The sequence below is a fragment of the Homo sapiens genome, chromosome 6 (genome assembly GCF_000001405.40).
Source record: "Homo sapiens chromosome 6, GRCh38.p14 Primary Assembly".
NCBI lineage: Eukaryota > Metazoa > Chordata > Mammalia > Primates > Hominidae > Homo > Homo sapiens.
In genome coordinates, this window is record NC_000006.12 from 136,795,281 (window position 1) to 136,817,206 (window position 21,926).

Consider the following 21,926-nt stretch of genomic DNA (forward strand, 5'->3'; position numbering starts at 1 on the left):
AATTTATGTTCCATAGCATAGGGTTATGAGATAATGAGGAACTAGCTGGCAAGATTCTGGAAGAAAGGACAGGAATCCAGAGGGTGAGTCTACAGTCAGGGTTCCCTTTGGCTGTGGGATTTTTGTGGATCTGAATTAGGCAGCTGAAAGGCTGAAGTGAATTTTTTTAATGAAAAATAACGGTATTTTGCAAAACAAAACAAAAAGAATGGTGACACCGTTGTGCATTTTCACAAATCTTTTTAATGTCTGGCTTAATAGATGACAGTGGATTCTCATTTCTGCTTCTACATTCATGCTGTTGCAGCATGTTGTTTTGGTTGAAGGGTATAAAGAAAATCTGGAGAAGTTTCTGAAGTGTAGGAGGTATTTGAAGAAGTACATGAAGAAAATACTCTGGGAGGAGCACAGTCACTCCCACTGTGAAGGCACACATGAATTCCTAAAAATCACTGAGCTGTGCAAAATAGTGCTTTTTTTAAAGTAATTTCAAGTTTTATTTTAGATTCGGGGGTACATGTGCAGGTTACATGGATATATTGCATGATGCTCAAGTTTAGGGTACGATTGTTCTTGTCACTCAGGTAGTAGAAAGAGCACCCAACAGTTGGTTTTTCAACCCTTGCTCCCTCCTTCCCTCCCGTCCGCAGTGTCTGTTGTTACCATCTTTATGTCCATGTGTATCCAATGGGACCCTCTCCTGGGAAGGTCTTAAGACCCACAGTCAGAAAGGTGGGGGGTTGTTAGCAGGTAAAAGGAGAGCAGGAAAAAATTAGAGGCCTGCCTCTGAGGCCTAACACACTCAACATAACAGAAGACTATAACGAGGGTTATGGGAGTTACAAGCCAGAAACCACAGATGAAAACCAATATATATCGTAACACCACACTCTGTTCATAGTTTCTTTGGTTGTGCAGAAGCTGTTTAGATTAGGTCCCGTCTGTCAGTTTTTCGTTTTGCTGCAAATTGCTTTTCAGGACTTAGTCATAAATTCTTTCCCAAGGCCGATGTCTAGAATGGTATTTCCTAGGTTTTCTTCTATGATTCCTAGGGTTTGAGGTCTTACATTTAAATCTTTAACCCATCTTGAGTGAATTTTTGTATATGGTGATGGGTAGGGGTCCAGTTTTATTCTGCATAAGGCTAGCCAGCACCACTTATTGAACAGGGAGTCCTTCCCCATTGCTTATTTTTATCGACTTTGTTGAAGATCAGATGGCGGTAGGTGTACGGCTTTATTTCTGAGTTCTCTACTCCGTTCCATCAGTCTGAGTGTCTGTTTTTGTACCAGTACCGTGCTGTTTGGGTTACTGTTGCCTTATAGTACAGTTTGAAGTTAGGTAATATGATGCCTCTGGCTTTGGCTTTAGCTATTCAGGCTCTTTTGGGGTTTTATTTTATTTTATTTTATTTTTTCCTGCTGTTCTACAGGCTCCTTTTTGGTTCCATATGAATTGTAGAATAGTTTTTCTAATTCTGTGGAAAATGATGTTGGTAGTTTCTTAGGAATACCATTGAATCTGTAGATTGCTTTGGACAGTGTGGCCATTTAAACAAGATTGATTCTTCCAATCCATCAGCGTGGAATATTTTTCTGTTTGTTTGTGTCATCTATGATTTCCTTCAACAGTGTTTTGTAATTCTCCTTGTAGGGATCTTTCACTTCCTTGATTGGATGTATTCCTAGATTGTGTGCGTGTGTGTGTGTGTGTGTGTGGCTATTATAAATGGAACTGTGTTCTTGACTTGTCTCTCAGCTTGAACGTTATTGGTATATGAAAATGCTACTGATTTTTATACATTGATTTTGTATCCTGAAACTATACCGACATTGTTTATCAATTCTAGGAGCCATTTGGTGGAGTCTAGGTATAGAATCTTGTCTTCAGGGGATGAGGCGCAGTGGCTCATGCCTGTAATCCCAGGACTTTGGAAGGCCAAGGCGGGTATATCACTTGAGGCCAGGAGTTTGAGACCAGCCTGGCCAACACAGTGAAGCCCCATCTCTACTAAAAATACTGAAAAACAAATTAGCTGAGCATGTAGTCTGTAGTCCCAGCTACTTGAGATGGAGGTTGCAGAGAGCCGAGATCGTGCCACTGCACTCCAGCCTGGGTAACAGAGTGAGATTCTGTCTCAAAAAAAAAAAAAAAAAAAAAAGATTCTTATCTTCAGGGAAGAGAGATTATCTGACTCCTTTTCTTATTTGGATGCTTTTTATTTCTTTCTCTTGCCTGATTGCTGTGGCTAGGACCTCCAGTACTATGTGGAATACTGAGAATGGGCATCCTTGTCTTGTTCCTGTTCTTGAGGGCAATGTCTTTAGCTTTTGCCTGTTCAGTATTTGTTAGCTCTGGGTTTGTCATAAATGGCTCTTATTATTTTGAGGTATGTTCCTTTGATGCCTAGTTTGTTGAGGGTTTTTATCATGAAGGGATGTTGGATTTTATCAAAAGCTTTTCCCATACCTATTGAGATATTCATCTAGTTTTTGTTTTTAAATCTGTTTATGTGGTGAGTCACATTTATTGATTTGCATATGTTGAACCAACCTTGGATCTTAGGAATTAAGCCTATTTGATCGGGGTGAATTAACTTTTTGATGTGCGGCTAGATTCAGTTTGCTGGTATTTTGTTGAGGATTTTTGTGCCTGTGTTTATCTGAACTGAATTCTTGATAACATCTTGAGGACAAAATTAAAGATGATATACCCTACAAGTAAGAGTGAACTATAGGTTAGATGGCCCGTACGTGGACAGCAATCCTGCTTCCATTCATCTGAGTAACCCAGAAAGAAGTCTCAAACCCTAAAATTGTATTAAGGTAGTTCCCTGCATTTGAGAAACAAAATTCACTCCAGAGGAAGATGACATCATCTTGGGCCATGAATTATTTCTACAAATATAAGATCTGTAAATGTAAGCAAATATTTGAATGCACGGTAGCATGGTGGAATCAGAGCAAGAATGTGAACTGAAATTTTTGCCATCTGTTTCTGATTTTCCCCTCTAGATTCACTCTCCATTTATATCCCCCAGAGTCTCTGTCTTGGGAGGCTATGAATTAAGTCAATGGGCTCCCTTCCTTTCTGTTTATCAGTTGGATTTGGTCAGTGGGGAGTCCAGGCAGGGATCTGCAGGAGGAAGGACATTGGGAGCTGGGTATTTCTCTCCTGGACTCACTCTGTATGAGTCACTACAGGCTGGCTGTGTTCTTCAACAGAAGGTTATTGCTCTTCCCAAGGTGACAGCTCCTATGGGACTCACTTTCTAACAGGGTCTCATAACTGTCCCTTGCTTTGTTGTTTATTGGCACCTAGAAATGATAAAGTTGCTGGCCCCAAGCTCATGAAGAATTCCTTGAAGCCTCCTTATACCCTTCCACAGCTTTGTAATTAGTCTTTTTGTAAATAAACCCACTTCAAATTATCCTACCTGTTTCCTGTTGGGACTCTGATAACTACTAATGAGCGTTTAGAAATTAGAAAACTAATTTAACCTTTCTGGACCTGTTTCTTCATCCACAAAACACAGTGTTGAATTAGATTCCACTGAAAATCCTTTGAAGCTCCAATGTGCTATTTTAAGTATTTAGTTAAGATTCCAGTTCTTATACTGAATTGAAATGTGTAAAGAATGAAAATACCACTGGGCAACCATGTAGTAATAAGGGAACTTTTTCTTTACAGAAATATTCCAGCTAATGCATACAAAAGCCTGATGTCATTATAATATCACCATTTTGTAACTCTTAATGAATTTGGATTCAGATATCAATCTTTTTTTTTTTTTGAGACAGGTTCTGGCTCTATTGCCCAAGCTAGAGTGCAGTGGCTCCATCTCAGCTCACTGCAGCCTCTGCCTCCTGGGCTCAAGCAATCATCCCACCTCAGCCTAGTAGCTGGGACACAGACACGTGCTACCACACCCAGTTAATTTTTGTATTTTTGGTAGAGACAGGGTTTCACAATGTTGCCCAGGCTAGTCTAGAACTCCTGGGCTCAAGCAATCCTCCTGCCTCAGCCTCCCAAAGTGCTGGGATTACTGGCATAAGCCACTGCACCCAGCCTACATATCAATCATTAATAGTCACTAATATCATTAAAAGAGAGATGACCAGATTATTGCATGCCTCCTGATGAAAGAACACACCATCAACCATGAAGTAGTCATCCCAAAAACAGTGGACATGAATCTATCAAAGCCCCAGAACCCAAGGCCTGGGTTCAACAGTTAATTTCAGGACATATTAAAGTCATAAAAACAGGGTCAAATACTCTGGAGATGCAATGAGTAAAATCTAGACTGTAGGAAACTCTATAAGACAAATGGCTCACTTTCTTGCATGAATAAATTGCAGTGGTGGAAGAGGGCAACATTGAGATTAAAAGATTGTTAATTTGTAAAGATATAATAATACTATTGTGCTTATGTTAAAAAGGGAGTCTTCATATTTCAGAGACTCCATACAGAAATACTTATAAATGAGGTAAAATGATTTCTGGGATTGGCTTAAAAATAATATGGTAGGAGGTACAGGAATGCGTGAGAATACAGATGAAAGAAGATTGGCCCCGAACTAATGATTTTTTATAATGGGTACATGGATGAGGTTCATTATACTAGTCTTTCTACTCTTGTATATGCCTGAAATATTTCATAATAAAAAGTTTAAATAAAATAAAACCATGGAAACAAAGAATGTAAGACATTTTCATATGAAAAATGTTTTAACATTCTGACCACAAAAGAACATGTGTATAGTCTCATGCAAATCATCTTTTTATTTCATTTTTTATTTTTGAGACGGAGTCTGACTCTTTTGCCCAGGCTGGAGTGCAGTGGCACGACCTCAGCTCCTCAGCTCACTGCAATCTCCACCTCCCACTTCAAGCAATTCTCCTGCCTCAGCCTCCCGAGTAGCTGGGATTACAGGTGTGTGCCACCACACCCGGCTAATTTTTGTATTTTAGTAGAGACAGGGTTTCACCATGTTGGTCAGGCTGATCTCGAACTCCTGACCTCAGGTGATCCACCTGCCTCGGTCTCCCAAAGTGTTGGGATTACATGCGTGAGCCACTGCACCTGGCCTAATTAATACCTATTTTAATGTGGTGAGTGTTCCTATTGAGAGCCTAAACAGTTTTTACTTTGAAAATTAAGCCATGCCTGGGCATATGTGGACTCAGAGAAGAGTCCACCAGGGGAATCAGCTCATGGCTAATAGAGAAGCCTTATGAAGGTCAATAACCCCAGGAAAGAAACAGCAATGGTAAATCATTATGAGAGTCGCCTGCAGATGGAAGTACAACAGGGCAAGAGTGACTCAGTTTGCCCTGCAGTACTGCTTGCACAAGAGAGGCCCCTCCCTTGGGCTCTATGTTTTGGAGGGCCCAGCCATGTCCCTTTCTCAGAGAATCAGAGGTATGAACCCACAGAAAAATCCTCCTCTTCTAATTTGCCCTCTGGAGACCCCAGACCCCAGGATTATCTGCTCAAGCATCATCAAGCCCATTTTCAGAGCCTATTTGTGAGGGCTATAGATGGAGTTTGGCTGCTGAGGCTGGGATGTCTCCAAAAATGTCTATAAGATCTTGCAGAGCTAAAGATGGCAAGAAAGGTCACTCTCTCCATGCTACCGCACTTGGGTGTGGAACTCCAAGAAGTTCAATTGTAAATTCAAAATCCACCTTCCTAGCCTTTATGCAAGTATATTTGTCAAGGACAAATATATTTATTTAATAGTATATTAGCCTGATTAATAACTTTTAGGTAGGGCATGGTGGCTCACATCTATAGTCCTCACACATTGGGAGCCTGAGGCAAGAGGATCACTTGAAGCCAGATTCGAGACCAGCCTGGAAAGCATAGCCAGACCCCATCTCTTAAAAAAACAAAACAAAACAAAAAACCAGCATGGTGGCACGTGCCTGTAATCCAGTCTACTCAGGAGGCTGAGGTGGGGGGATCATTTGAGCCCAGAAGTTCAAGGTTGCAGTGAGTTATGATGGTGTCTCTGTATTCCAGACCAGGTGATAGGGCAACACCCAGTTTCAAAGAAAACAAAATTTTTTTTTTGTACCAAAGTCCTAGCTAGTGCAATAAGGCAAGAAAGTAATAAAATGAATAAATATTGGAACTAAAAAAGTAAAACTGCCTTTATTTGTAGACATGATTGTGTATGTATAACATCTTAAAAAATCACCAAAAATAAAAAATGCTAGGACTAATAAGAAGTCCCAATTTAGATATCCCAAATGTGATCTAAAAGTTCAACACAATGTCAAGCAAAATTTGTGCAGGCTTATTTTTGTAGAAATTGATAAGCTACATCTAAAATATACTTTTAAAGGATATGAATACATATATAAACATATGAAAAGCAAAGGGACTTGTGTAGCTAAACAATTTTCAAAGGAGGTCTTATACTGCTTGTTATAAAGCTCTGGTAACCTGACAATATGAAAAGACTGAATATGAATAGAGTCCATAAATAGGCACATAGATATGTTCAATTTGTTTTCAATAAGGGTGTCTCGGTAATTCAATGGGGATAGGGCAGTCTTTTCAAAACCAGTGTTTGAATAACCAGATACCCACAAAGAAAAAGAATGAACCTCAATCCTTACTTACGCTAGTCACAAAAATAACTAAAAATTGATCATGGGCCTAAATTTAAAGCAAAAGCTGCAAACCTAATAGAACAAAATAATGGAGAAAACTTTTATGAACTTGGGTTAGGCAAAGATGTCTTGGATATGACCTAAAATAAAATAAATTATAAATATATAATTTATATATAAATGTTATATAAATATGTATAAATATATAAAAATGTTATATATTGGACTTAAGATTAAAATATATGCAGTTCCTAGACATTGTATAAAAATGAAAAGGCTTGGTTGGCCAGGTGCCGTGGCTCGCACCTGTAATCCCAGCACTTTGGGAGGTCGAGGCAGGCACATCACTTGAGGTCAGGAGTTCAGGACCAGCCTGGTCAACATGGTGAAACACCGTCTTTACGAAAAATACAAAAATTTGGTTGGGTTTGATGGCGTGTGCCTGTAATCCCAGCTACTTGGGAGGCTGAAACATGAGAATTGCTTGAACCTGGGAGGAAGAGGTTTCAGTGAGCTGAGAGTGTGCCACTGCAAGGGCAAGACTTAGAAAAAAAAAAGGAAGGAAGGAAGGAAAGAAGGAAGGAAGGGAGGGGAGGAAAGAAAGAAAGAGAGAAAGAGAGAGGGAGGGACGGAGGGCGGGAGGAAGGAAGCTAAATAAATGGAAATATCCAATATTGTTGAGACGCCAGTTCTTCTGAATTTGAACTATATGTTTGACATAATTCCAATCAAAAATCTGATTCTAAAATTCATATTGAAATGGAAAGGACGTAGAATAGTTGAAACAACTGTGAAAAATAGAAATAAAGTTGGAGGACAAACATTACTTATTTTAAGACTATAAAGCTGTAGTAATCAACACAGTGTGGTATTGGCATCAATACCCAGCTACTTGGGAGATAAATAGAGACATGAAACAGAATGGAGTCCAGAAATAGATATATAGTACATGTATATGGATGGCTGACTTTGAAGAAAGTTTCAAAAGCAATTCAGTAGCGAAAGGATAGTCTGTTTGTATATGGATATCTGTACTATAGATATCCATATGCAAAAACAATCATCTATTTATGTGCACAAATATGGACTTTGATCCATACCTCTCACATTATACAAAATTAATTCAAAATTGTCATAGTCCTAAATGTAAAACTTAAAATCAGAAAAGTTCTAGAAGAAAACATAGCAGAGGGCTGGGCGCCATAGCTCACGCCTGTAATCCCAGCACTTTGGGAGACCCAGGCGGGTGGATCACCTGAGGTCAGGAGTTCGAGACCAGTCTGGTCAACAAGGTGAAACCCTGTCTCTACTACAAATACAAAATTAACTGGGCGTGCTGAGACAGGAGAATCACTTGAACCCTGGAGGTGGAGGTTGTAGTGAGCCAAGATTATGCCATTGCACTTCAGCCTGGGTGACAGGCAGAATGAGACTCCGTCTAAAAAAAAAAAAGCAGAAAACCTTTGCAACTTTGAATTAGGCAAAGATTTCTTAGATAAGACACCAAAAGCATGATCCATAACTGAACGAATCAATAAACTGGATGTCATTATAATTAAAAACTTCTGCTCTTTGGAAAACCGTATTAAGAGAATGAAAAAACAAACCACAAACTGGAAGAAAATATTTGCAAATCACCTATCTGACAAAAGGCTTTTAAGAATACATGATTCGCAAAGCTCAACAATAAGAAAACAAAAAATCCAGTAAATAATAAGCAAAAGGTTTTAACAGATATTTCTCCAGTGACAAATAAGCACAGGAAAACATGCTCAATATCAATAGTCATTAAGGAAACACATACTAAAAATCACAATGAAATACGACAACTGACTACATCAGGTGTTAGTGAGAATATGGAGGAACTGAAACTCTTACACTGCTGGTGGGAATGTAAAATGGTAGAACTCTTTGGAAATAGTTTGACAGTTCCTTTAAAACTTGAACACACATCTTCATTGTGACTCACCATATCACTTTGGTGTATTTAGCCAAGATAAATGAAAGAATATATTCATAAAAAGATTTGCATATTAATGTTTATCAAAGCTTTGTCATAGGCAAAACCTGTAAACAACCCAAATGTCCACCATTGGGTGACTGAATGCACAAATTGTGGTATATGCATACAACAAAAAGGAGTACACAATAAAAATAATGGACTGCAGATACACATAAAAACAAGCTGAAAACAAGGTGAAAGAAATTTTTTTGGGTTTTTGTTTTTTTTTTTTGAGACAGGGTCTCAGTCTGTTGACCAGGCTGGAGTACAGTGGCCCCATCAAAGCTCCAGTAGCCTGGACCTCCTGGGCTCAAGGAATCCTCCTGCCTCAGCCTTTCATTGTAGCTGGGACCATAGTCATGGGCCACCATGCCTGGCTAACTAACCTTTTGATTTTTTGTAGAGACAGGGTCTCACTTTTTTGCCCAGGTTGGTCCTGAGTTCCTCCAGTCAAGCATTCTCTCACCTGGGCCTCCCAAAGCCGTAGGATTACAGGTGTGAACCACGGTGATGGACCTGTAAAATTCTTTAAAAATGCAAATTAATTTATAATGAAGCAGATTAGTGATTACCTGGGGAAGGAGGAGGGGAGCACAGGAAGGAGAGATGACAAAGGGGCATGAAGAAACTTTTGAGGATAATAGATTTGTTCATTATCTTGGTTGGTGCCCCATAAATATATACAATTATTATGTGTCAATTAAAAATAATAATAGGCTGGGGACAGTGGCTCAGGCCTGTAATCCTGGCACTTTGGGAGGCCAAGGCAGGCAGATGGCTGGAGACCAGAAGTTCGAGAACAGCCTGGGCAACATGGTGAAACTCTGTCTCTACAAAAAATACAAACATTAGCTGGGCATGATCAGGCCTGCCTGTAGTCCCAGCTACTGGGGAGGCTGAGGTGAGAGGATCACTGAAGCCTGGGAGGCAGAGGTTGCAGTGAGCCCAGACGGCACCACTGCAGTTGACAGAGTGAGGCTCCATCTCAAAAAAAATAGAAAAATTGAGGTGAAGTCTTGCCCTGTTGCCCAGGCTGATGTGCAATGGCATGATCACGGCTCACTGCAGCCTCGGCCCCCAGGGCTCAAGGGATTCTTCCACCTCAGCCTCTGGAGTAGCTGAGACCACAGGCATGTGCCACTACACCCAGTTAATAGAGACAAGCTCTTGCTATGTTGCCCCGGCTGGTCTCCAACTCCTGGGCTCAAATGGTCCTCCTGCCTGGGTCTCATAAATGCTGGGATTACAGGCCTCAGCCACCAAGCCTGGCCTATTGGGTTTTTTAGTGGTAATAATTGTATTGTGGATATATTTTTAAGGAGTCCTTATCTTTTAGAGATATTTGATGAAATTTTTATAGATGAAATGATATGATGTCTGGGATATGCTTCAAAATAAAACAGGAGGGTAGTAGAATATATGGAAATACAGATGAAGTAGGATTGGCCACAAATTGATAATTGTTTTACTGGATTATGAGTTTATGAGGGTTTATCATAGTAATCTCTCTACTTTTGCATATATTAAATTTTTCCACTATAAAAACAAACAAAAATTATCTGCAAAGATTTCAAACAATATTTAAATGATAGAGAGTTTTGCTATAAACATCTATGAGAAAAATGAATGCCACAGTATATTATTATTATTTTGAGACAGAGTCTCGCTCTGTTGCCTAGGCTAAAGGGCAGTGGTGCAATCTCGGCTCATTGCAACCTCTGCCAACTGAGTTCGTGATTCTTGTGCCTCAGCCTCCCTAGTAACTGGGATTACAGGCATGGGTCATCACAGCCGGCTAATTCTTGTATTTTCGGTAGAGATGGGGTTTCACCATGTTGGCCAGGCTGGTCTCGAATTCCTGGCCTCAAGTGATCTGCCTGCCTTGGCCTCCCAAAGTGCTGGGATTACAGGTATGAGCCACCACACCCGGCTCCTAAAATATATTAATTCATAGCAATCTTAATTTATAAATTCAATCCATTTCAAACCCAAGCAACTTAAAACTCAAAACTTCTGATGAGTAGATCCAAAATGTTATATGAAACTAAATGATTGAGACTAGCCAGGATAATATTTGAAGAGTAAAGAAGGACAGATTCAATGTAGACATCAATCAAGACATTTTACAAAGGTAAGTATGGTTTTATAACATCGGAATGATACTAATGCAGAGATAGAGATATGGCCCAATGGAACAGACCCAGAAATGACCCCGTGCACATAAGGGAGCAAGTATGTGCATCGACATGAATAAATATCAAAAAAATAAAACTCTGAGAGAGAAAAATAGTACGTTGCAAAAGGACATCCATTTTAAAAACAAACCAATAATACTGTGTATTATTTATGGATAGATGTATGTGCGGTAAAAGGCAGACAAACATGGACAAAAAGGATTCATAATTATTCTAGGAAATGTATTTACTCCTAGAAATGAAAAGAGTAAAATATAGGGAAGGAGGATCTAGTATGTTCTTTCTTCTGAAATGCTCTTGTGTCAGAAGATCTCTTTTTTTTTTGAGACACAGTCTCTCTCTGTCACCCAGGCTGGAGTGCGATGGCACAATCTTGTCTCACAGCAGCCTCCACCTCCCTGGTTCAAGCGATGCTGATGCCTCAGCCTCCTGAGTAGCTGGGATTACAGGCCAGTGTCACCATGCCCGGCTAATTTTAATATTTTTAGTGGAGACGGGGTTTCACCATGCCAGGCTGGTCTCAAACTCCTGACCTCTAGTGATCTGCCTGCCTCCACCTTTCAAAGCGCTGGGATTATAGGTGTGAGCCACCACACTGGGCCAAAAATATCTTTTAACTGATGTAATTGAATATTTACTAAATTCTATATCTATTTTCTAAACTATGTGGATAAGACCAGTATGACCATTAACAATGCCATATTCTCCTCCATTCACTTTCCTTGAGAATGCTTTTCTCTTTTGGCATGTCATTATGAACTTAGGGCCTTTCACAGATTTCATATATTTTAATCAACTACAGCCTTGGTTCTCTTTTTGATGCTCAAAGTCACAACTTTGGTCAATGAAGCCCTTTTTTAAGTAGCACCCTTTTCCTTTTGATACCACTGCATTAATCTTTGAAAGTTTCCTTGCTTTGTGGTAAAAGAAGATATTCCAGGCTCAGTCTAGCCCTGCCACAAACACGAAATCAGCTAGCCTTCTAGAGAGACTCATGCCTTTTAGTGACTGACTGGTATAAGAAGCCACATTTCAAGTACTAGGGTTGCCTGTTGGGTTCATCCCATCAGGGGAGCCAGAAACTCTGGGGTTCACTCAAGTGGATAGAGTTAGAAAGGAAGAAAGGATGTGGATATATTTTTACATCTGCACATACAATGAAAGGAACATCTACATATTCCATTTTGAGTTGATAGGGAAACTCATGCAATTTAAGGTTCTGTATAGCCTTAACTTGTCACTCTATGATTTGATGGATGTCATCTTACTATCATCTAGTCCATTTTCAATACCTTACTGTATAATTATAAGAGCAAGACTCATGTATATAAACTTTTATATATATATAAAGTTCTGGCTAAACAATTTGATCATTTCTCCTATTATCTAAATTCTAGCAATATTAGGACAAAAGCGAAAGAAGACAGATGTAAGGGGATATGGTTTGGCTGTGTCCCCACCCAAATCTCATCTTGAATTGTAGCTCCTATAATTCCCACGTGTTTATAAATATATAAAACTATATTTATATATTTAATAATATTTTAATTTTACAAAATCCTGGCCAGTTATCAAAGCCTTTACATTTACTTTGCTCTTTTTTCTGAGTTACTAGTTTTTCTTCTTTTAAAAGACAAAACATCCCCCTATCAACTTTACATAATATTATGCTATGTATTATTATTTTTTGAAGTTTGCTTTGTATAAATCCAAACAACTCTCCCAATTAGTAATATCTTGACCCAATATCTCTTATAGTCTTTCATTTTCCAGTAGGAAATCAAAGATGATCTTGGTATTTGGAACTCCATGTAAATAGGAAATATTGATGCATGTAAATATCAGCTACCCTTGAGATTATTTAAATTCCTCTTTTGAGGTATGGGCCAAAATATCATATATATTTCTACTACCTTTATTTTAATTACAGGTAACTTTAATCTCTAGTATAGAAATCCAATTAAGAAGAGGCCTTTGAATAAATATAAACATTTATGTTTTTCGTGGTTTGTGAACTAAAACCTCCAAAAGCCAACAAACTATTTAAAATCAGATTTTATCTAGACTAATTAATTAAATTAATTAATTAAATTGATAACTGTGATAGTTAACGTGTCAATATGGCTAGACTACGATGCCCAGTTGTTTGGGCAAACACTAGTCTAGATGTTGCTGTGAAGGTATTTTGTAGAGTGATTAATATTTATAACCAGTTGACTTTATTATTTTATTATTATTATTTTTTTAGAGACAGGGTGTTGCTCTGCTACCCAGTCTGGAGTGCAATGGCATGATCATAGCTCATGGCAGCCTTAAACTCCTGGGATCAGGTAATCCTCTCTCCTCAGCCTCCTGAGTAGCTAGGACTATAGGCATGTGTCATCACACCCAGCTAATTTTTAAATTTTTTGTAGAGACATGTATTAGTCCATTTTCACTCTGCTATAAAGATATGACCAGAGTTGGCCGGGCACAGTGGCTCATGCCTGTAATCCTAACACTTTGGAAGGCTGAGGTCAGGAGTTCAAGACCAGCCTGGCCAACATGGCAAAACCCCGTCTCTACTAAAAATACAAAAATTAGCTAGGCGTGCTGGCGGGCGCCTGTAATCCCAGCTACTTGGGAGGCTGAGACAGGAGAATTGCTTGAACCTAGGAGGCAGAGTTTGCAGTGAGCTGAGGTTGAGCCACTGCACTCTAGCCTGGGCAACAGAGCAAGACTCCATCTCAAAAAAAAAAAAAAAAAGATACTACCAGAGTCCGAGTAATTTATTTTTTATTTTTTCTTTGAGACAGAGTTTTGCTTTTGTTGCCCAGGCTAGAGTGCGATGGCACGATCTCGGCTCACTGCAATCTCTGCCTCCCAGATTCAAGTGATTCTCCTGCCTCAGCCTCCTGAGTTAGCTGGGATTACAGGCGTGTGCTACCATGCTCAACTAATTTTGTATTTTTAGTAGAGATGGGGTTTCTCCATGTTGGTCAGGCTGGTCTACAAACTCCTGACCTCAGGTGATCCGTCCACCTCAACCTCCCAAAGTACTGGGATTACAGGCATGAGCCACCGCGCCCAGCTGAGTCTGAGTAAAGATTAAGGAAAGAGGTTTAATTGACTCACAGTTCCACATGGCTGGGGAGGCCTCATTAAACTTACAATCATGATGGAAGGCAAAGGGGAAGCAAGGCATGTCTTCCCACGGTAGCAGGAGAGAGAGAGAGCACAGGGGAAACTGGCACTTATAAGACCATCTGATCTCCTGAGAATTTACTCAGTCTCATGAGAAAAGCATGGGAAGCTGCCCCCATGATCTATTCAACTCCCACCAGGTCCCTCCCTCAACACATGGGGATTACAATTTGGATTACAATTCAAGATGAGACTTGGGTGCGGACACAGAGCCAAACCTGTATCAAGAAAGGGTTTCACTATGTTGCCCAGGCTGGTCTCAAACTCCTGGCCTTAAGTGATCCTCCCACCTCGACCTCTCAAAGTCTGGGATTACAGGCATGAGCCACTGCACCCGGCCCAGTTGACTTTAAATAAGGAGGATTACCCTCCATAATGTAGATGGGCCTCATCTGATCAGTTGAAGGCCTTAAAGCAAAGATTGAGGTTTCCCAAATAAGACTCAAGACTGTAACACAGAAATCCTGACTGAGTTTCTTGCCTACCCTACACATTTTAGACTTGCCAGCCTCCACAATCCCATGAGCCAACCTTAATATAAATCTCTTTCTCTCTGTATCCCTGACTGATATAATCACTCACATAAAAAAAAAAAAGTGTCAAATGCTAAACATTGCAATTTTGCCCAGTATCAAAGTGGTCTATAGATTCAGAAAATTTTCTACTTTCCTAACTCTTGCTAAAACCAACTCACAAAATATACATGTGCCTATACACTTTCAGCACAATAAATTCCATTTGAAATCACATACATTTCTTTAAAAAATCATATTTACATAAATGTGACTATTTAATTTTAGTGCACAATTCCAAATTTATTTATGCAGTCAAACATACTTGGCCAGGTGCAGTGGCTCATGCTTGTAATCTCAACACTTTCGGAGGCCGAGGTGGGAGGATTACTTCAGCCCAGGAGTTCGAGACCAGCCTGCGCAACATGGCAAAACCCTGTCTCTACCAATAATAATAATAATAATAATACATAATGCTAGCCAGGTGTGGTGGCACACGCTTGTAGTCCCAGCGACTCAGCGACTCAGGAGGTTGAGGTGGGAGGATCGCTTGAGACCAAGAGATGGAGTTTGCAGTGAGCTGAGATGGCACCACTGCACTCCAGTCTGGGCAACAGAGCGAGACTCTGTCTTTTTTATTTTTTTTCTGAGAAGGAGTCTCGTTTTATAGCCCAGGCTAGAGTGCAGTGACGCCATCTCGGCTCACTGCAAGCTCCGCCTCCTGGATTCACGCCATTCTCCTGCCTCAGCCTCCTGAGTAGCTGGGACTACAGGCGCCCGCCACCACGCCCAGCTAATTTTTTAAAATATTTTTTGTAGAGACGGGGTTTCACCGTGTTAGCCTGGATGGTCTCTATCTCCTGACCTCATGATCGACCCACCTCGGCCTCCCAAAGTGCTGGGATTACAGGCGTGAGCCACCGCGCCCAGCCCTGAGATTCTGTCTTAAAACAAATCAAAATGAAAAAACAAGCCATTCTATGCCTCAATTACCAATTTTATATTCTTTAGTAACTGTACTTACCATTATTGAGAAAATCTATAATAAAACTATATTCCTTTAAAATTAAGGTAAAATTAAATCTCCCTGATTCATTGTAGAATGTTTTCCTTTTAGATATTTAAAATGTTTAATATAAAAATACCCAAATTTAGAATTTTTTTAAAGAAACTAATATTCATAAATCATTATTTTACTTAGAAAAGGGTGAGGAGTAGTTGGTTCAATCCCCATCTTGGTAAAACCAGAGACTTTGCTGTTAGACATGATTTAAAACTGCCATTTTTCCCCCTTTCTTTCTTTGAAGTTTCTTGCCTATTTTCTATCTTTGAAGTCCTTTTGAAGTTTTTATTCTTCTCTTGTAGCCTGTTATATTTCATTTTTTCTGAGCTTACAACTAATTTCAGAAAAAAATACATTGTTTTTAAAAGTTTAATTTATACCACTTTTAGCTTTATATGAATGCATTTATAGTTACCCTTTTTGGATTAAAAATAATTTCAGGTGAACTATTTAACTTCCAGTTCCTTGTGTATCATGCATTTTACCAATCTAATTTCAGTTTCATCATCTTTGGAATATACAAATCTCATTCTTGTGCCCTGAATTCTCTGAATGCCATTTCCAATTCAAGAGGCTTCTAATACATTTGTGTGATTCACAGTGCTCCCAGCTCCTTTTGGAAAAAACAGAAACTTTTATCTGCAAAACAGATTACCTTATACTCTAAACCAAAGTCTTAACATTTATGAATATTTAAAATCTAGCATCTACTTCCTGCCTTCTGATTCACTGGGATTCTTTCTTTCAAATGTAGCCAATTCCTTTACCCTTGTAGTCTAGGCTTATTTTGATTTGCAATTTCTGAAATTCTATGGTTTAGACTATGAGGAGGTGGATTTTAATACATCTCAACTCTCCTGGAGAGGTGCCTTTAGTCCATTTAAGAGAGATGGGACAACCTTCACTGTAGTACAGCACTTTTATAAGGTACATACTCTGGTGATCCTAAAACTATCATTTTTGGAGTATTCTCTCAGGCTAGCTTCTCATCAAAGTACAAGATAATTAGGGCCGGGCATGGTGGCTCACACATGTAATCCTAGCACTTTGGGAGGCCAAGGCAGGTAGATCACATGAGGCCATGAGTTCAAGACCAGCCTCGCCAACAAGGCAAAAACTCATCTCTATTAAAAATATAAAAATTAGCCGGCTGTGGTGGTGTGTGCCTGTAATCCCAGTTACTCAGGAGGCTGAGTCAGGAGAATCGCTTGAACCCGGGAGGCAGAGGTTGCAGAGAGCTGCGATTGTGCCACTGCATCCCAGCCTGGGTGACAGAGAAAGACCATGTCTCAAACAACAGCAACGACAACAAAGTAGAAGATAATTAGAAAAGTCCCAGGGACTAACTCTGACTGATGTGGCTTGGGTCACGTGTAGTCCTGGGACAACATGGTATCTAGGTAGGGGTGTTAGGAGAGGCTCAGTCCTAAGCACAGGCCTGTGTAGTGAAGGTTAGGTGGAGCAGATGTTAGCTTCCAGAGAAGTCAGGGGTGCTGGGCAGACTGACTCAATAGCCTCTGCCAAGATTTATAATCACTCCTTGTGGTCTGAAAGGAATGACCTACTATAACCTGCTTTTGCATGAATTCCATAGCATTATTCCCATCAACTTTTCCTGAATCCTCTCAGCCTTTGTGACACTAGTAATCCTTTGTAAATACTGTAAGCCAAAAATAAAATTCTAAGCACCCCCAGCAATCATCCTAATGGACGCCTCCTCTAGGCAAGGGCATTCCAAAGTTAGCCTGGAAAATAAGCTCAGGCCATGATGGGAATGGGGAGCTGGACATGCCTCATTATACCCTCCTCTCCTTTGGAATTACTGATAGAACAGACTCTTTAAATCTGATGAGAAACATTTACATACTGCTTTGGATCCTGAATAAAATTTTTATAAAATTTTAAAAAAAGGAAACATTTCCAGGCTTCATCTGCATGATAAAGCGTTGGTCTCCACAACCCCTTATTAGTAACCCAGTTGTTCCTTTCTATTGATAATGACTCTTTCAACCAATCACTAATCAGAAAATCTTTAAATCTACCTATGACCTGGAAGCCACCCCCTCTCTGAGTGTCCCACCTTTCTGGACCAAACCAGTGTAAATCTTACATGTATTAATTGATGTCTCATGTCTCCCTCAAATGTATAAAACCAAGCTGTACCCCAACCACCTTGTGGACATGTCAACAGGACCTTCTGAGGCTGTGTCAGAGGCACATTCTTAACCTTGGCAAAATAAACTTTCTAAATTGATTGAGACCTGTCTGAGATACAGTACTCAAGGTTACTCAGGGTCGTAATCACATATGAGAGATTGTGTTTTTGCCAGTAGTCCTGTTACCCAGCATGAAGAAGATTAGATAAGGAATAGTTGGTGGTAATAACTGGAAAATAAAAGCATTTTGTGTTTATTCCCCCAGTAAGTTGAGGCATCTTTATCACAATATTTATGGCCATTTATCACCAAATGCAGAAATTATAGTTTGCTATGATCTTACTGACTGCATCACTTCCGCATGTATGTGTATCTCTGCTGAATAGAGTCTCTCATACTTTGAACCAAAGCATGTGATTTCAATAAAGAAGAACCCTGAAAATAATGCACTTCATGTTGTGATGATTTCCATTCTTCCTGGTGACTACGAATTTGTGAAAAAAAAGAAACTCTGGAATATGTTTTCCCCCATTACACATTTTCTCTTTTGTGCCCTTTAAAAATACATCTTTGCTGTACAGCTAGAGTAGAGAAAAGGTTTTCAGAATTCTTTTTCCTTTTTAGGAAGTAAGTTGGTGTTTTCTTGAAGTCCTGGGCTCGAGTGAGCCTCCCGCCTTGGCCTCCTGAAGTGCTGGTATTACATGCCTGAGCCACCATGCTTGGCCAGTGTTTTGTATTTACATAAACATTTATAAAGGTTTGCAAAGGAAACATTTTCATTATTTTTTTTTCCAAAAGCTTATTGGATACCCTAAATCCATATTAGTTTTTACTTTGGTGCTCTCTCATGTGGCAACCATTTCTCTGCTCATTTATTATTCCTCCCATGTATCTGTTAACTTTGGATTAGTTTAATGGGAATATAATGTGAATTGTCCTGAAAATAAGGCACTTAACAACCATCATTAATGAACATTAGATCCTCATTTATTAGTGGCCGTCACTCATTCTAAGTTATACAGAAGAGAGCATGAATGAACTAACTGAAAAGAAACCTATTGCATTAAGCAACATATTTCCAATGGCACTTTACTTTTTGTATTTAATAATAATATTTATCAAATTTTATTAAATGTTTATGTAGTTTTAATCAATAATGCTATTCATACTACTACTAATAACAATACATTAATGATAACTCAGTCTAAAAAAATATAATCCTTAAAGCCATATGGTTATAGGAAATTTATTTATTATTATTATTATTATTTTTGAGACAGAGTCTCGCTCTGTCGCCCAGGCTGGAGTGCAGTGGTGCAATCTTGGCTCACTGCAACCTCTGCCTCCTGGGTTCAGGCGATTCTCCTGCCTCAGCCTCCTCAGTAGCTGGACTACAGGCGCCCGCCACCACGCCCAGCTAATTTTTATATTTTTAGTAGAGGTGGGGTTTCACCATATTGGCCAGGCTGATCTCAAATTCCTGCCCAGAGGTGATCTGCCCACCTCAGCCTCCCAAAGTGCTGGGATTACAGGTGTGAGCCACCACACCCGGCCCCAGGAAATTTTTTAAAAATTAAAATTTCAGGCTAGGCACAGTGGCTCATGCCTGTAATCCTAACACTTTGGGAGGCCAAGGCAGGAGGATCATCTGAGCCCAGGAATTAAAGACCAGCCTGGGGAACATAGTGAGACCCCTCCTCTGTATGAAAAATAAAAAAATTTGCCAGACATGATGGCTGGTGCCTGTAGTTCCAGCTACTCAGGAGGCTGAGGTGGGAGGATCACTTGAGCCTGGGAGGTTGAGGCTGCAGTGAGCTATGATTGCACCACTGCACTCCAGCCTGGGTTACAAAGTAAGACCCTATTTCAAAATTAATTAAATTAAATTAAAACATCAGTTTATGTATGTAATTTTCTAATGTGATAAATATGATAAAGAGATCAATAAAATGATTTCAAGCATAAATGAACATTACATTAGAGAAAATTCTACAACAGAATAGTAGAATGGAATTACAAGTTCAAGAAGAAAAAGAAATGACAAATTTTTCTTTTTTTGATTTTATCTTATTATTATTATATTTTAAGTTTTAGGGTACATGTGCACAATGTGCAGGTTAGTTACATATGTATACATGTGCCATGCTGGTGTGCTGCACCCATTAACTCGTCATTTAGCATTAGGTATATCTCCTAAAGCTATCCCTCCCCACTCCCCCAACCCCACAACAGTCCCCAGAGTGTGATGTTCCCCTTCCTGTGTCCATCTGTTCTCATTGTTCAATTCCCACCTATGAGTGAGAATATGCGGTGTTTGGTTTTTTGTTCTTGCGATAGTTTGCTGAGAATGATGATTTCCAATTTCATCCATGTCCCTACAAAGGACATGAACTCATCATTTTTTATGGCTGCATAGTATTCCATGGTGTATATGTGCCACATTTTCTTAATCCAGTCTATCATTGTTGGACATTTGGGTTGGTTCCAAGTCTTTGCCATTGTGAATAGTGCCACAATAAACATACGTGTGCATGTGTCTTTATAGCAGCATGATTTATAGTCCTTTGGGTATATACCCAGTAATGGGATGGCTGGATCAAATGGTATTTCTAGTTCTAGATCCTTGAGGAATCGCCACACTGACTTTCACAATGGTTGAACTAGTTTACAGTCCCACCAACAGTGTAAAAGTGTTCCTATCTCTCCACATCCTCTCCAGCACCTGTTGTTTCCTGACTTTTTAATGATTGCCATTCTAACTGGTGTGAGGTGGTATCTCATTGTGGTTTTGTGGTTTTGATTTTCATTTCTCTGATAGCCAGTGATGGTGAGCATTTTTTCATGTGTATTTTTGGCTGCATAAATGTCTTCTTTTGAGAAGTGTCTGTTCATGTCCTTTGCCCACTTTTTGATGGGGTTGTTTGTTTTTTTCTTGTAAATTTGTTGGAGTTCATTGTAGATTCTGGATATTAGCCCTTTGTCAGATGAGTAGGTTGCAAAAATTTTCTCCCATTTTGTAGGTTGCCTGTTCACTCTGATGGTAGTTTCTTTTGCTGTGCAGAAGCTCTTTAGTTTAATTAGATCCCATTTGTCAATTTTGGCTTTTGTTGCCATTGCTTTTGGTGTTTTAGACATGAAGTCCTTGCCCATGCCTATGTCCTGAATGGTATTGCCTAGGTTTTCTTCTAGGGTTTTTATGGTTTTAGGTCTAACATTTAAGTCTTTAATCCAACTTGAATTAATTTTTGTATAATGTGTAAGGAAGGGATCCAGTTTCAGCTTTCTTTTTTTTTCTTTTTTTAAAATTATTATTATACTTGAAGTTTTAGGGTACATGTGCACAATGTGCAGGTTAGTTACATATGTATACATGTGCCATGCTGGTGTGCTGCACCCATTAACTCGTCATTTAGACAAATTTTTCTAACAGTTAAAAATGACCTTGTTCGAATGTTTTTTAAAAAATTGATAGTAGTGGATAGCAGGCTTTATAAGATGGCCCCCAATGATCCTTGCCCCCAGGTATAATATTTATGCCCTTGTGTAATCTCATCCCCATGAGAGTGGGCTTGACCTAAAGACTTGCTTATAACAAAGAGAATACAGCAAATGCGATGGGATGAGGCTTCTGAGATAAGGCTATCAAAGCACTATGATTTCTATGCTGCTCTCCTCTTTTGCTCTCTCTCTCTCTTCTGTGTGCTCTGAGGAAAGCCAGTTGCCATATTATGAACTACCGTATGGAGAGCTTCATGTGACACAGAACTGAGGGAGGTCACTAGCCATTAGCCAGCCATAAACTTAGGCCCTCTGCCCTATGGTCCATAAGAAACTGAATCCTGCCAACAGTTACTTGAGGAAGCTTGGGAGTAGATCCTCCCCGAGTCAAGTCTTCAGATCACCCAGCAGCCCTGGCTGACCCCCTGATTGCAGTCTTGTGAGAGACTTTTATCTGCCCCAGAGAAACTGTGAGATAATAAATGGTTGTTTTCAGCTGTGAAGCTTAAGGACAATTTGTTACACAGTAATAGATAACTAATATAATAATGATAAGTACCAAAAGCCTATTGTTTTTAGAATCCATATGATACATTTAAGGTTGATCAAATATTTTTACTTTTAAAGTGACATTAATTTTCAATAAACTTGAAATTATGTCATTTGCAGCTATTTAAAGTTACGAGAAAACAT